Raw genomic sequence first — 15455 nt, 5'->3', positions numbered from 1 at the left:
GGGCTAGATCTGCCAATAGTTTTAAAAATACAAATCACATTCAGCAGTCATTTTATAGAATTGTTGCAAAATTCATCACAGAAATCTTTCCATTGGGTAGATCACCTCAAGAGATCTGGATTCCAGAGATCTGAGTCTTGCTGATGGCTCTTGATGGAACTGAGGAGTTTGGATTCCTCAGGTACATATTTTTGGGGAGATGGGAGCCTATTTAATCTTTGCAGACCTTGGACTGCCCAGTTTTACACTGTGCATGATTTGACTGGTCCACCAAAGTCTGCCTACTAGGTGGTTTAAAAATATCACAAAGGGGGGATTAGGGGAAATTCTGCAATTTGAGGTTGTCTTTTCTTAAAACATTTTTCTCTCTTTCCTTACCCCCCTTCCCTCTCCTGCTGTTTTATGACTATTCTTTCCTAACTTCACAATTCTTGATGGAGACAGGAGGCTATAACCTTGCCAACACGGCTCGATGCTGGACATACTTGACCGGGGTCATCCTAGGGAAAACACTATCCTCTGAGATCCCAGATCATGAGGTAAGTAAGGCTCTGACAAGTCCTCTCTTCTTTAAGGGGAAGAGCTGAGTCATTCCACCTAATCAAAATCACGTCCTCACCACTCAATACCGTTTTGTTGAGAGACACTTCAATAACAATAACACACTGTCTTGGCAGAATAGTGGACTCTTGTTCCAAAATATCCAAGACCTTCTGCCTTTTTGTTTTTTTACAAGAGATCTCAAAGGCCAACCAACTTTAATTTCTCAATTAATTACAGAGACTGTGGGAAGGGGTCACCTGTTCACACAAAGAATTCTTTGGAATATGTGCATATTTTTATCCCCTAGCCTCAAAAAGGAAGGGGCTATTTTTAAAATGTGTAAGCTGGATTCTCATCTTTTTTTTAAGAAGTTTCATAGGTGGTACGTGGCACATGTTCTTTGGTGGTAGTCCTGATCTCTCAATTTTCTTTGACTAATGTAAAATTCAAGAAACCCACAAGCACTACAAAGACCATTGCTGATGTTTTTCTAGCAATTAGTGGCACACAGAGGCTGGAATAGGACCATCCAAAATGTGAAACGTCATTTGAGCCCTTGCCATTTTCTTTAGTCATACAAGATGGGCTTTATGTTTTCCAAAGCAAAGATGTCTGTTCTAGTTTTCCCAAAACAAGTTCATGGAAAGCTGTCTGGGACCTGTGAGTGTGCTGATAATCCCTAATCCAAAGGCATACCTTTGTTCCTACCTATCACCCCAGTTCCCCTGCAAGTAGGAACCATGTTATAGATCAAGATGTATAACTACGGACCTTAGACTAGATGACTTAAAATAACAAACCAGTACATGCAGCCCCACCTTCTCAAGCTATTTCCCAAGGATTAGGGATGCTGCTTTGGTTTTAATGTTATGATTTCTGCCAGATACAGTAGCTGTACACTTGGGAGCATGATGCTTTTTAAAGTTGCTATTATTTTTTAAAAATTAGAAACAACTTAAACTAATTTCCTTCCAATTTTCTCCTAACCTCAGGTGAGGTACAATATGTATCTCACAAAAACCATTCAATATGTCTAGAATACAAATAGAAGGTACACTATAATTTGAGACAATTTGCTGATGTCAGGGTTAATAGAAGTCTCTTTTCTTGGTTTGTCTTACCTTTATTCAGTATTTGGAAGCTTAATGAAATATAAAGGTAAGTGCTGTGAACAAATGTAATCGCTGTTATTGCTGTGGGAATATCTCAGATTGCATTGTAATTTAAAGCTCTGGGACTTTATAAACTGATCAAGTTATGTCAGAAACAAGTTTTAAGCTGTAGAAGCCTGAACTGAGAATGAATGCTCTATTCCTGAGAAGCAAAAGCAAATCCAAAGTTTCATCTGTGTTAAAAGATTGATAAAATTTTAATAAAGATGAATATCGCCTCTGGTACATGGAGAAGCTGTGGGCCTGAATGGGTGTAAGCTGGGCCTCATAAATAGGTGTTCTGTCTTTATACTGAAATATTCTGTAAGATTAAATGAGATATAATGTATGTCAAGTGCCTAACACGTAGTTCCCTGGAATCTAATAGGCACTTTAAAAATGCAAGTTCTCGGCCGGGCATGGTGGCTTACAGCTGTAATCCCAGCACTTTGGGAGGTCAAGGCAGGCAGATCACTTGAGGTCAGGAGTTTGAGACCAGCCTGGCCAACATGGTGAAAGCCCATCTCTACTAAAGATACAAAAAATTAGCTGGGCGTGGTGGTGCACGCCTGTAATCCCAGCTACTCGGGAGGCTGAGGCAAGCGAATTGCTTGAACCCGGAAGGTGGAGGTTGCAGAGAGCCAAGATCATGCCATTGCACTCCAGCCTAGGTGACAGTGTGACACTCCGTCTCAAAAAAAAGAAAAAAAAATGCAAGTTATCTCCTTCTTCTTTGCATGCTGCTCACTTCTTATACCCAGACATTTATGACTATGTCATTCATAAATTTGTCCAAACCTTTTGTGAATTCCTTCTGTCATATCCTTCTGGTTTAAGAGATGTGAGTCATGCAAGAAAGAACAAAGAATAAAATTGAAATGACAGTCTTACAGGTACAATAAGATAACATTTTAATGAAAATTGCCAAAACTAGGCTACACAGTGTGAAGTCATATAAGTTCTGTGGCACAATACACAGTTGCACACAAATATCCTTGTGGTCCTCTGAAATCAGATTAACAAATGGTAGATCAAAAAATATTTGCTGAGCACCCATTATGTGCCAGACACCATGCTAAATGTCTTAGGAGATGCAAAGAGAGAAATTCATCCCCTACCTCAAGCAGCTAGGGAGGGAGGGTGGTGTAAGTGCTGGGGAGACATGCAAATGCACAGATAGTTATAATACAGAGCAGAAAAAGAATAAGACAGTAGGAAGAGTGACTGTGGAGATGTGCATCAAATATAAAGGGGATACAAAGGAGTACATAAAATACCCTGCCCTCCATGAGCTGAAAATATAATCAAGAAATCTAGTAGGTGAAAAGGTCAAGATAATGCAGTGGTCAGTTGCAGCCGGGCTGACCTCACTCTCTTCGCTCTCAGTCTTGGGCTTTAGTTCTTTCATCTCCTAGGGTAATAATCCTCCTCCTCCAAATGCCCGTTCCCTACTTCTCTATTATCTTCCTAGGTCCAGCTTCAAGTCCTGTGCCCTTCAAAAACCCTTACCTAAATACATCAATCCCCTTTGAGCTCTTCCTTCACGTTCATTTATTCCTTGTTTCATTTAACAATTATGTGTTGGGCCCCTACTATTTGCCAGGCCTTATTGAGACCTGGATTCAGAGATACAAAGACTAATGAGATAATCCCAGTGCCCTCCAAAATCTCACGATCTAATAAAGGTGACAGAACAATGTGCTCACATCCAGGACAGATGAGGACCATAGGGGATATGTTTCAACAAGACTTTGAACTGACTCTTAGAGGCTGATTAGGAGTTCGCTAGGTGAAGAAGAAGAAAAAGGCATTCTAGGCAGAGGGAACAAAGATCAGAAAGGGACTGGTGCCTCATGGGACCAGTGAAAAATTTGCTATGTGTAGATTACAGGGTATATGAGAGACAGTAGGAAGGATTAAGGCTTGAATGGAAGTTAAGGCCAGATTATGAAGAGCCCTGAATGCTACATTAAAGAGCTTACACTTTTTTCTGTGAAAACAAATGAGCTTTAACTTTTAAAAAGCTCAGTTGGTAGAGATAGATTGCAAAGAGGAGAGACTTGAGAAACGCAGACCTGTTAAGAGATTCAAATATATACCTATAACACTTACAGTCTGTGCCATTCATTTGGTCATCATTGTTTTGGTTGTCTGCACCACGCCCCCAACCCTAGTGCTTAGCTGAGTGTTAAGTAGCCACCACCTAGTTGAATAAATGAGTGTTTGAGTAAGTGTCTCAATATTCATATTGGGAAACTTCTATTTTTTTAAGATGAAAGAATTGGAAGCGTAATCTAGCCTTTCTCTGGGAACCCAATTTAACCTTAATAGCAACTTTCCATCCTTTGCAAGAGGTATCAGGTAGCCCAGCTATAGGAAACAGGTGTATCCATGGGAGAACATTATATTACCAATGCAGGGAATGGAGTTCAGAAGGCAGAAGCCCAGCACAAATATTAGAAGTGATAAGGGTAGGACTTCAAGTATAGCGCTCATAAAATATAAAACCGGTGATACCATAAAGCCAGTGATGCCATAAGGCCAGTGATGGCATAAAGCCAGTGATGAGGAAGTTAGTTTCAGCCAGAGCACTGGGGAGCCAGGTTGGCCAGCCAAGCAGTCCCAGCTGGGAAAGCTGAGAAGAATGGAGCTTGTATGTATGATTGGCCCAGATATCTCTACCATAGGGAAAGCCCAAAGGTGTCATGGTACCATGAAAAGACCAGTACATGGCAAATTTAGCACAATCACATGGATTATTATGTATAAAAATGTTCTATAGTCCAGTACTACTATTTAGATCCCGTGACTTATCTAGGATAGAGTAGGGCTGGGGTGTGTGTGTGTGTGTGTGTATGTATATGTGTATCATCACATAGGTTTACTAATGGAAAATATTAACACTACTTAACCAGACTGCTTTTTATGGACTGATTAAACTGTACCTCATTCATATTAGGGAACATATGTAGCCATTAAAAAGAATTAGGTCAATTTATATACAAGTATATGTTACTAATAAAAAAACAGCCTTCTTGCACTGTAACCTGTAGATGGCACTGAATCTATAGATTGATTTGTGCAGGAGTAACATCATAACAATATTTAATCTTTTAAGCCATGAATTTATCTTTCTATTTACTTGAGTCTTCTTTAATTCCAAATTATAATCTGTACTCTCCAGTAAACACATCTTACACAAATATTATTGAATTTATCCCTAAGTACTGTATTTCATTATTTTGATCCTATGTAAATGGTATTTTCATTTCAATTTCCAATAGTTTGTTGCCAGAATATTGAAGGACAATTGACTTTTCATATTGATCTTGAATAATGTAACCTTGCTAAATTTACTTATTAGCTCTAGTAACTTTTTTGTAGATTGCTTAGCATAATCCATGTATGCAAACATCATCTGTGAATAAAGAGAATTTTCTTTCTGTATAATCTTCATGTCTTTTATTTCTTTTTCTCACCTTTTTCACTGGTTGGGACCTCCAGTGCAATGCTGAGTGGAAATGGTGTGTGAATATCTTTATCTGGTCCCCAGTCACAGGGGGAAAGTGCTTAATCTTCACTATGAAGTGTGATATTAGCTGTAGGATTTTTCAAAAATGTTCTTTTTTAGGTTGAGGAAGTTCCCTTCTATTCCTAATTTACTGAGACTTTTTTTTTTCTCACAAATGAGTACTGATTTTGTCAAATGTTTTTCTTCATCTATTGAAATGATCATATGGTATCCTCCTTTATTGTTAGTACAGTAAATTGCACTGATTTTTTAATGTTAAACTGACTTTGCATTCCTGGAATAAACCCTGCTTGGTCATGTTATATTATCCTTTTTATGTATTGCTGGATTCATTTTGCTGAAACTTGGTCAAGGTTTTTTTGTGTCTATGTTGATAAGGGATGTTGGCCTGTTGTTTTCTTTTCTTGTAGTGTCTTTGTCTGGTTTTGATATCAGGGCAATGCTGATCTTTGGTTTCTCTGGGGTTTACATCTGGGCATCTGTTTGTTTTTGTTTTTGTTTCGTTTTTTGTTTTTTGTGAGACAGAATCTTGCTGTGTCGCCCAGGCTGGAGTGCAGTGGTGCAATCTTGGCTCACTGCAACCTCCGCCTCTCGGGTTCACGCGATTTTCCTGCCTCAGCCTCCCCAGTAGCTGAGACTATAGGCGCGCACCACCACACCCGGCTAATTTTTGTATTTTTAGTAGAGATGAGGTTTCACCATGTTGGTCAAACTGGTCTTGAACTCCTGACCTCAAGTAATTCGCCTGCCTTGGCCTCCCAAAGTGCTGGGATTACAGGTGTGAGCCACCATGCCCAGCCTATAGTATGCATTTTTAACTTATTAGAGTCAACTTTTAAATAGTATTACATTACTTCACATATAATATAGTACCTTTACAGCAGCGTTCTTCCATTTTTTTCCTTTCTCTTTCTTTGTGCTATTGTAGTCATATATTTTACTTTTGCATATGTTATAAACCTCTTGATACATTGTTATTGTTTTGCTTTGAACAATTTTTTTAGTTTTTAAAATATTTACTAATTCATTTTAAGTAGAATAAATCCAGCATATATTAGCACAAATAACATGTTTTGATGAAAAATAACTGTATTTTCAAAGATAAAAAGAAATTTCTTAAGAAAAATGTCATTGTTATACCCTTTTGCCCATTTCTTTAACATCTGGCTTAATAGAAGACAGCTGACTTCTCATACCTGCTTCTACATTCAGTGTGTTTTGAGATGTTGTTTTTTTAAAAATATATAAAGAAAATCCAGCTTCACATAGATATGTAATTGGAAAAGGGAAAATGTATTTTAATACACTTTCAGATAATTATGGATATTCTTCGATACTACACTAAAACTTCACAAATGAAAGTTTCTTAAAGGTTAATCCAGTGTGGAATCTGAAACCGTATCAGTGAACTTTTTATGTACTATTACATTAAAACTCATTGGTCATCTTATTCTTTGAGTGGATATTTGACCCATCTTATACATATTGGTTATTTGGAAAATATTAGTTCACTAAGTTATGCAAATATTCCAAATGCTAACACATTTTATGCAGTATCAAAAAATCAGTCATTGATCTCACCACCGATCTCACTGGAAAAAAAGCTTAAGTATTGAGAAGCTGTTATGCTCCCAGTGGCAGAATGAAGTTTCCTAAAATTCTAATTTTCACTCAAAAAATGTGAATATTATCATTGGCAAGAAATGCTGTCAGTTGTTTGCCCTGAAGTGACAAACTTATTTCATTTTTGAGAAAATATTTGCCAAATGTCCAAGTATTTAATCATGCCTTATCCATCATTCTTTCAAGCAAAAATGATGTTCTATGAAAAATGTGGCTAGTTAAGCTCAAAACTTGACATGCTTTTCCTCAAGACAACCACCATAGCACAGTTTATACCAGAAGCACCTTACGTATACCTCCAATTTCATCACACAGAATATTAAATCCAGCATCAGGATTTAATAAAATTAATACTTTTTAGTGCTTTATCAGGGACATTCTTAGGTCAAATTGGATTTTATTTTACTATAAGTGCATGTCAGTAAATAATACAATAACTGCTGGTATACTTTGGTGCTATTGCCTTAATTTGTACCATAGTATCTGCAGTTTTACCCACCATTGCTTTTGCACCTCCATGCAAATATAAACAAAGTTGCTCCAGCATAAACCATGAGATTCAAAGTTATTCAGCACTTTGAACATTTTAGCACTACTCATGTTTGTTGCCAACCATTCACATAAAAGAAGATCGTCTTCAAAGATTAGTTAGTGCTGATACCACATGACTGACTACAAGCAAAACTGTAAGCCCAGCCATATTTGTAGATTTGTCTGTTTGTAAGGTGCGAATAAATTCTGTAAATGAGATGCTAACTAAGTCTTCATGATTACAGCTAAATGTTTAAATAAACAAGTTACTGTGCCATTGAGAAAAGACAATGCTGTAAGCTATTTTACTAACTTTTCATCCAATAGGCAGTGAGCAATGTCAATTGTCCAAGGCTTTATTGGTCTCCAAGCTATAATGTGGAATTCTCTAGCCAATGCAGTAAAATAACTTACCTATAACATGCTGCAATGACTTTTTAATTTCTAGTTTGAAAAGGTGCAACAAACAATTCTTGGCTATTTGAGTTCATCATGTCTACACTTAATATATTCAATTCCTTTTCCCTTAACTATGAATGAATGGTCTAAAAATGATGCTACAATTTAAATGACGAATTATTTTGAAACTGTTCAAAAATGTTCTGTTGCATAAGACACTATAAGGTAAATTCGTTACATATATAAAGATAATTTTAATCATATTTCATTTCTTATTTACAATTTCACCCAGTTTTTTTAAGTAAAGTTCTTCCTTCCATGGGTCAGAACCCTTACTGATGTTTCAGTTTCATCTTTTTCAGCTCTATAAACATAGATGTTGTGGCCCTGGTTTGAGAAAGCAAGTCTTTTAGCTCTGGACAACACCCCTTATATCCCTAATTGGGCTGTGTTTGGCTGGACCGTGTTACTCCATTTCCTGTCTGCCACCAGGGTAACAGCATGCTTTGCTCCTCTCTGGCCTTCGGTGGCAGTCCTTTGAGCTCAGTACATAGGCAGCCACCACTGGATCTGCTGATTCCAACATGACCCTACATGGTCTTCTAAAGAAATTATGAGTAAGAAAATATCTTTTATATTCATCCATTCCAGCATTTTTCAATATTTTGTGTAGATCCAGGTTTCCATCTGGCACAAACTGCATTCTGCCTAGGAACTTCAGTTCATTTTTCTTATACCGTAGGTCTGCTAGCAACAAATTCTCAGCTTTTGTTTGTCTGAAAAAGTTTCTATTTTGTCTTAATTCTGGAAAGATATTTTCACTAGGTGTAGAATTCTAGGTTGATAATTTTTCTTTTAGCACTTCAAAGATATTATTTCATTGCCTTCTTGCTTACATATTTCCTCATGAGAAGTCTGTGATAAATTTTCATCTTTGTTCCCTTGTATAATATGTGTCATATTTCTTTGGCTGCTAAGTTTTCTCTTTATAACTAGTTTTCGGCAGCTGGATTCTAATATGCTGTCATGTGGTTGTCTTTGGATTTATCCTGTCTGAGATGCATTGAGCTAGGATCTGTGGGTTTATAGTTTTTATCAAATTTGGAAATATTTCAACCACTATTTTTTTCTGTTACTTCTTTCTTTCTTCTACTTCTAAGACTCCAGCTAAACCTAGTTAGACCAGTTATGTTGAAGTTTCATGCATCATTCACTGTGACCTTTTTACTTTTTCTTTCTTTTTCTTTCTTTCTTTCTTTCTTTCTTTCTTTCTTTCTTTCTTTCTTTCTTTCTTTCTTTATTTTTAAGAGACAGAGTCTTACTCCGTCAGCCAGGCTTGAGCGCAGTGGTATAGTCATAGCTTACTGCAGCCTCAACTTCCTGGGCTCAAGCGATCCTCCCACCTCACCCTCCCAGGTAAATAGGACTACAGGTGCACTCCACCATGCCTGGTTAATTGTTTTATTTTGTAGAGACAAGCTCTCACTGTGTTGCCCAGGCTGTTGTCCAGGCTGATCTGCCACTCCTGGGCTCAAGCAATCTTCTTGCCTCAGCCTCCCAAAGTGCTGGAATTATGGGCATGAGCCACCATGCCCGGCCTATTTTTTTTTTTTTTCAGTCTTTTATTTCTCCCTGTGATGTATTTTGAAGAGTTTCCATTGCTTTGCCTTCAAGTTCATTGATCTTTTATTCTGCAGTACACCTGCTCTTAATCTCATCCAGTGAAATTTCCATTTCAAATATTGTGTTTTTCATCTCTAGAATTTCCATTCTTAAAAATATTTTTAATTTCTCTCCTCACTAGGTTCATATTTTTTTTACCTCCTTAAGCATATGGAGCATATTTATAATAGCTGTTTTAGAGTCCTTGTCTACTAACTCCATCATTTCTGTCATTTCTGGGTCTGTTTCTGTTAACTGATTTTTCTTCAGATTATAGGTCACATTTGCCTACTTCTTTGCATGTTTAGTAATTTTTTATTGGATATCAAATGTCATGACTTTTATATTGTTGAATTCTGGATTTTAAATAATTGGATTTCAAGAGGATTATACTTTTTTCCTGATAATTAAGTTATTGTGGATCAGTTTGATCCTTTTCCAGTTTTGTTTTGAAATTAATTTAGAGTAGGTCTTGACTAGCCTTTTTATTCTAGGGCTAATTTAGCCTGCTTTGAATGTACTACCCCTGTGAAGCCTATACTGTTACCCCAGGTATTCAGTGAGATCTCTTCAATTTGGCCCTTTGTGAGCTCTAGAAATTGTTCTTCTTTTTTTGTTTGGTTGGTTTTTGTTTGTTTGTTTGTTTAAGATGGAGTCTTGCTCTGTCACCCAGGCTGGAGTACAGTGGCATGATCTCAGCTCACTGCAACCTCCGCCTCCCAGGTGCAAGCAATTCTCCTGCCTCAGCTTCCCCAGTAGCTGGGATTACAGACATGTGCCACCATGCCCAGCTAATTTTTGTATTTTTAGTAGAGACGGGGTTTCGCCATGTTGGCCAGGCTGGTCTCGAACTCCTGACCTCAAGTGATCCGCCAGCCTCAGCCTCCCAAAGTGCTGGGATTACAGGCATGAGCCACGGCACCCAGCCAGGAATTGTTCATCTTACAACACCACAATAATTGTTTTTCTGTAAGTTTTTCAGGACTACTCTTGTGAAGTTGTACCCTATACATGTTCAGACTGGTATTCTTCAAAAGACTCAAGTAGACTTCTACGTATATTTCTAGTATTCTTTTTTTGGCTTAGCTCCATCTCTACAATTTCTAACCACCTTGGCCTCTCTGAACTCCAATATCCATCTCCTCTACTCAGTGAGATTGCTGGGCTCTGTTTGGATTCCCCCTTCCTACACCACAGTCCAGGGATTACTTCCAGGTAGAAAGCCTGGGTGAAAGTAGGGTTCACCTCATTCGTATCCTCTGTCTTTCAGGAATCAGTATCTTGTACTGTTTATTGTCCAATTTCTGAAAATAGATGTTTCCTGTAATTTGTTAATTTTCCAGTTGTCTCTAGAGAGAAAGTAATCTCGCCCTCATGGCCAGAAGCCGAAGTCCTTTAGTTATCTGCCTTCATTTTCTCTGCCTTCATTTTTGAAGAATATTTTTGTAGGATTTAAATTCTACATTTACAGTTTTTCTTTTCTTCTGGCTTCTGTTGTTTCTGATGGATATTAGTCTTATTATTATTGTTTCCCTGTATATAATGTATCTTTTCCCCTCTGGCTACCTTTATAAATTTATATTTGGTATTCAAACCTTTACTGTGGGCTAGGCACGGTGGCCCATGCCTGTAATCCCAACACTTTGGGAAGCTAAGGCAGGCAGATCACTTGAAGCCAGGAGTTTGAGACCAGCCTGGCCAACATGGTGAAACCCCATCTCTACTAAAAGTACAAAAAGAAGCCCGGTGTGGTGGCACATGCCTGTAATCCCAGCTACTCGGGTGGCTGAGTCATGAGAATCACTTGAACCTGGGAGGCAGAGTATGCAGTAAGCTGAGATCACACCACTGCACTCCAGCCTGGGCAACAATGCAAGACTCTGTCTCAAAAGGAAAAAAAAAAAAACAGAGAGAAAGAACATCGACTGTAATATGCCTCAGTGTACATTTGTTTGTATTTATCCTATGTGGGATTCCCTAACTTCTTGGATTTGTGGGTTGCTAATTTTTATATACAGGTTGGGTATCACTTTTTTAAAACACTTGGGACCAGAAATGTTTTGGATTTCAGATTTTTTTTCAGATTTTGTAATATTTGCAATCTGGAAATTCAAAATCTAAAATGCTCCAGTGAACATTTCCTTTGAACATCATATCAGGACTCAAAAAGTTTCATATTTTAGAACATTTCAGATTTTGGATTTTCAGATTAGGGATACTCAACCTGTGATTTGGAAAAAGTATCAGCCAGTATTTCTTTATTTTTTTTTTAACTTATTCTCCCTTTCCTGTTCTTCTGGGACTCTAATTACAAATATGTTTGATTGATGCTGTCCTACAAGACACTGAAGTGAGCTTACTATTTTTTTCAGTTTTTTTCTCTCCAGGCTACAGTTTGTTTGATTTCTATTGATCAGTCTTCAAGTTTACTGATTCCTTAGTATACAATCTACTATTCATTCCATCCAATGAATTTTTTTTATTTCATCTCATCCAATGATTTCCTTAGCTTCTTTTTTCTTGAAAAGATTATAGATTCACAGACCATTGTAAAGGTACTACAAAGAGGTACCATGTACTCTTCACTCAGTTCCCCCCAGTGGTAACTTCTTACATGACTATACTGCAGTAAAAAAACCAGGAAATTGACATTGGTACAGCAGACCTTATTTAAATTTGACCAGTTTTACATGAGCCCATTTGTGTGTGCCTGTGTGTGCATAGGCAATTTTATTATATGTATAGATTGATGTAACTACTACCGTCGTCAGGATACAGCGCTGTTCCATTATCACAGAGACCTTCCTTGTGCTACCCTTTTATAGCCACTGCTGCCTTCTTTTCCCCTACTCCATCACGAACCCTTGGCAATCACTGACCTTTCTTCATCTCTATGACTTTTTCATTTAGACAATGTGATATAAGTGGAATGATACATTATGTGAGTTGTTGAGATTGGATTTTGCCCTCAGGATAATTCCCTTGAGATCCATCCAATTTGTTCCATACATTAATAGTTCATTCCTTTTTATGGATGAATGGTATTCCATGGTATAGATGTACCATAGGTTGTTTAATCATTTCTCCATTTGAGTTGTTTCCAATTTTGGCTATTAAAATTAAACACTTATATACAGTTTTTGTGTGGATATAAGTTTTCATATCTCTGGGAACAATGCCTAGGAATGCAAATGCTATATCATATTGTAAGAATAGGTGTGTTGTTTTTAAGAAACTAAACAGAAAGGAAATGACTAAAGAAAAGAAGTGCTTTCTTTTAATTACTGTTTACATACCTTATCTTTTCCATCCCTTTAAAAAATGTCCCTATATCATTACATTTGAAGTGAGTTTCTTGTAGACAGGATATAATTGGATTGTGTTTTTTTTTAACCTATTCTGCCATCTCTGTCTTTCCAATGGTGTGTTTAGGCGATTTACTTTTAATGTAGTTATTGATATGTTAGGGCTTAAGTCTGCCATTTTATTTAAACAGTATGTTTTCTGTTTGTTCCCTCTAATTTTTTTTTTATACTTTAAGTTCTGGGAGACATGCAGAACGTGCAGGTTGGTTACATAGGTGTACACGTGCCATGGTGGTTGCCGCACCCATCAACTCATCATCTACATTAGGTATTTCTCCTAATGCTCTCCCTCCCCTAGGCCCCCAACCCCAACAGGACCCAGTGTGTGATGTTCCCCTCCCTGTGTCCATGTGTTCTCATTGTTCAACTCCCACTTATGACTGAGAACATGCGGTGTTTGGTTTCTGTTCCTATGTTAGTTTTCTGAGAATGATGGTTTCCAGCTTCATCCATGTCCCTGCAAAGGACATGAACTCATCCTTTTTTATGGCTGCATAGTATTCCATGGGGTATATGTGCCACATTTTCTTTATCCAGTCTATCATTGATGGGCATTTGCACTGGTTCCAAGACTTTCCTATTGTGAATAGTACTGCAATAAACATCTACAAACCTATGTGTTCATGTGTCTTTATAGTAGAATGATTTATAATCCTTTGGGTATATACCCAGTAATGGGACTGCTGGGTCAAATGGTATTTCTGGTTCTAGATCCTTGAGGAATCACCACACTGTCTTCCACAATGGTTGAACACTCCCACCAACAGTGTGAAAACGTTCCTATTTCTCCACATCCTCTCCAGCATCTGTTGTTTCCTGACTTTTTAATGATCGCCATTCTAACTGGTGTGAGATGGTACCTCATTGTGGTTTTGATTTGCATTTCTCTAATGAACAGTGATGATGAGCTTTTTCTCATGTTTGCTGGCCACATAAATGTCTTCTTTAGAGAAGTGTCGGTTCATATCCTTCACCTACTTTTTGATGTTTGTTTTTTCCTTGTAAATTTGTTTAAGTTCCTTGTAGATTCTAGATATTAGCCTTTTATCAGATGGATAGATTGCAAAAATTTTCTCCCATTCTGTAACTTGTCTGTTCACTCTGATGATAGTTTCTCTTGCTGTGCAGAAGCTCTTTAGTTTAATTAGATCCCATTTGTCACTTTTGGCTTTTGTTGCCATTGCTTTTGGTATTTTAGTCATGAAGTCTTTGCCCATGCCTATGTCCTGAATGGTATTGCCTAGGTTTTCTTCTAGAGTTTTTATGATTTTAGGTCTTATGTTTAAGTCTTTAATGCATCTTGAGTTAATTTTTGTATCAGGTGTAACAAAGGGGTCCAGTTTCAGTTTTCTGCATATGGCTAGCCAGTTTTCCCAACACCATTTATTAAATAGGGAATCTTTCCCCATTGCTTGTTTTTGTCAGGTTTGTCAAAAATCAGAGGGTTGTAGATATGCAGCATTATTTCTGAGGCCTCTGTTCTGTTCCATTGGTCTGTATATCTGTTTTGGTACCAGTACCATGCTGTTTTGGTTACTGTAGCCTTGTAGTATTGTTTGAAGTCAGGTAGTGTAATGCCTCCAGCTTTGTTCTTTTTGCTTAGGATTGTCTTGGCTATAAGGGCTCTTTTTTGGTTCCATATGAAATTTAAAGTAGTTTTTTCTAATTCTGTGAAGAAAGTCAATAGTAGCTTGACAGGGATAGCATTGAATCTATAAATTACTTTGGGCAGTATGGCCATTTTCACAATATTGATCCTTCCTATCCATGAACATGGAATGTTTTTCCATTTGTTTGTGTCCTCTCTTATTTCCTTGAGCAGTGGTTTGTAGTTCTCCTTGAAGAGGTCCTCCACATCCCTTGTAAGTTGTATTCCTAGGTATTTTATTCTCTTTGTAGCAATTGTGAATGGGAGTTCACTCATGATTTGGCTCTCTGTCTGTTGTTGATGTATAGGAATGCTTGTGAATTTTGCACATTGATTTTGTATCCTGAGACTTTGCTGAAGTTGCTTATCAGCTGAAGGAGATTTGGGGCTGAGATGATGGGGTTTTCTAAATATACAATCATGTCTTCTGAAAACAGAGACAATTTGACTTCCTCTCTTCCTATTTGAATACCCTTTATTTCTTTCTCTTGCCTGATTGCCCTGGCCAGAAATTCCAATACTGTATTGAATAGGAGTGGTGAGAGAGGGCATCCTTGTCTTGTGCCAGTTTTCAAAGGGAATGCTTCCAGCTTTTGCCCATTCAATATGATATTGGCTGTCGGTTTGTCATAAATAGCTCTTATTATTTTGAGATATGTTCCATCAATATCTAGTTTATCGAGAGTTCTTAGCATGAAGGGGTGTTGAATTTTATCAGAGGCCTTTTCTGCATCTATTGAGATAATCATGTGGTTTTTGTCGTTGGTTCTGTTTATGTGATGGATTACGTTTATTGATTTGCCTATGCTGAACCAGCGTTGCATCCCAGGGATGAAGGCAACTTGATTTGGTGGATAAGCTTTTTGATGTGCTGCTGAATTTGGTTTGCCAGTATTTTATTGAGCATTTTTGCATAGATGTTCATCAGGGATATTGGCCTGAAATTTTCTTTTTTTCTGTGTCTCTACCAGGTTTTGGTATCAGGATGATGCTGGCCTCAT

At 37.6% G+C, this 15455-nt stretch overlaps 1 protein-coding gene across 17 annotated transcripts in view; it reads left to right on the top strand.

Moving 5' to 3' along the window:
• HDAC8 (histone deacetylase 8) overlaps positions 1-15455 on the top strand; it is a 243328-nt gene that overhangs the window by 110301 nt on the left and 117572 nt on the right. For 16 of the 17 annotated variants that reach the window (NR_199815.1, NR_051952.2, NR_199812.1 and 13 more), the window contains one exon: positions 445-539. Coding sequence is in view for 12 of the 17 variants with exons in the window: in XM_047442255.1 (XP_047298211.1) it covers positions 445-539 (95 nt within the window). In the remaining 5 variants the exon portion in view is untranslated. Of the gene's footprint in view, positions 1-440; positions 5145-15455 lie in introns of those variants that run through there. The other variant, NM_001410729.1, reaches the window with a different exon arrangement.

Source organism: Homo sapiens, chromosome X, assembly GCF_000001405.40.
Source record: "Homo sapiens chromosome X, GRCh38.p14 Primary Assembly".
Taxonomy (NCBI): Eukaryota; Metazoa; Chordata; class Mammalia; order Primates; family Hominidae; genus Homo; species Homo sapiens.
Note: the sequence above shows the minus strand (reverse complement) of the source record. Positions and strands in the feature narration are given on the sequence as shown.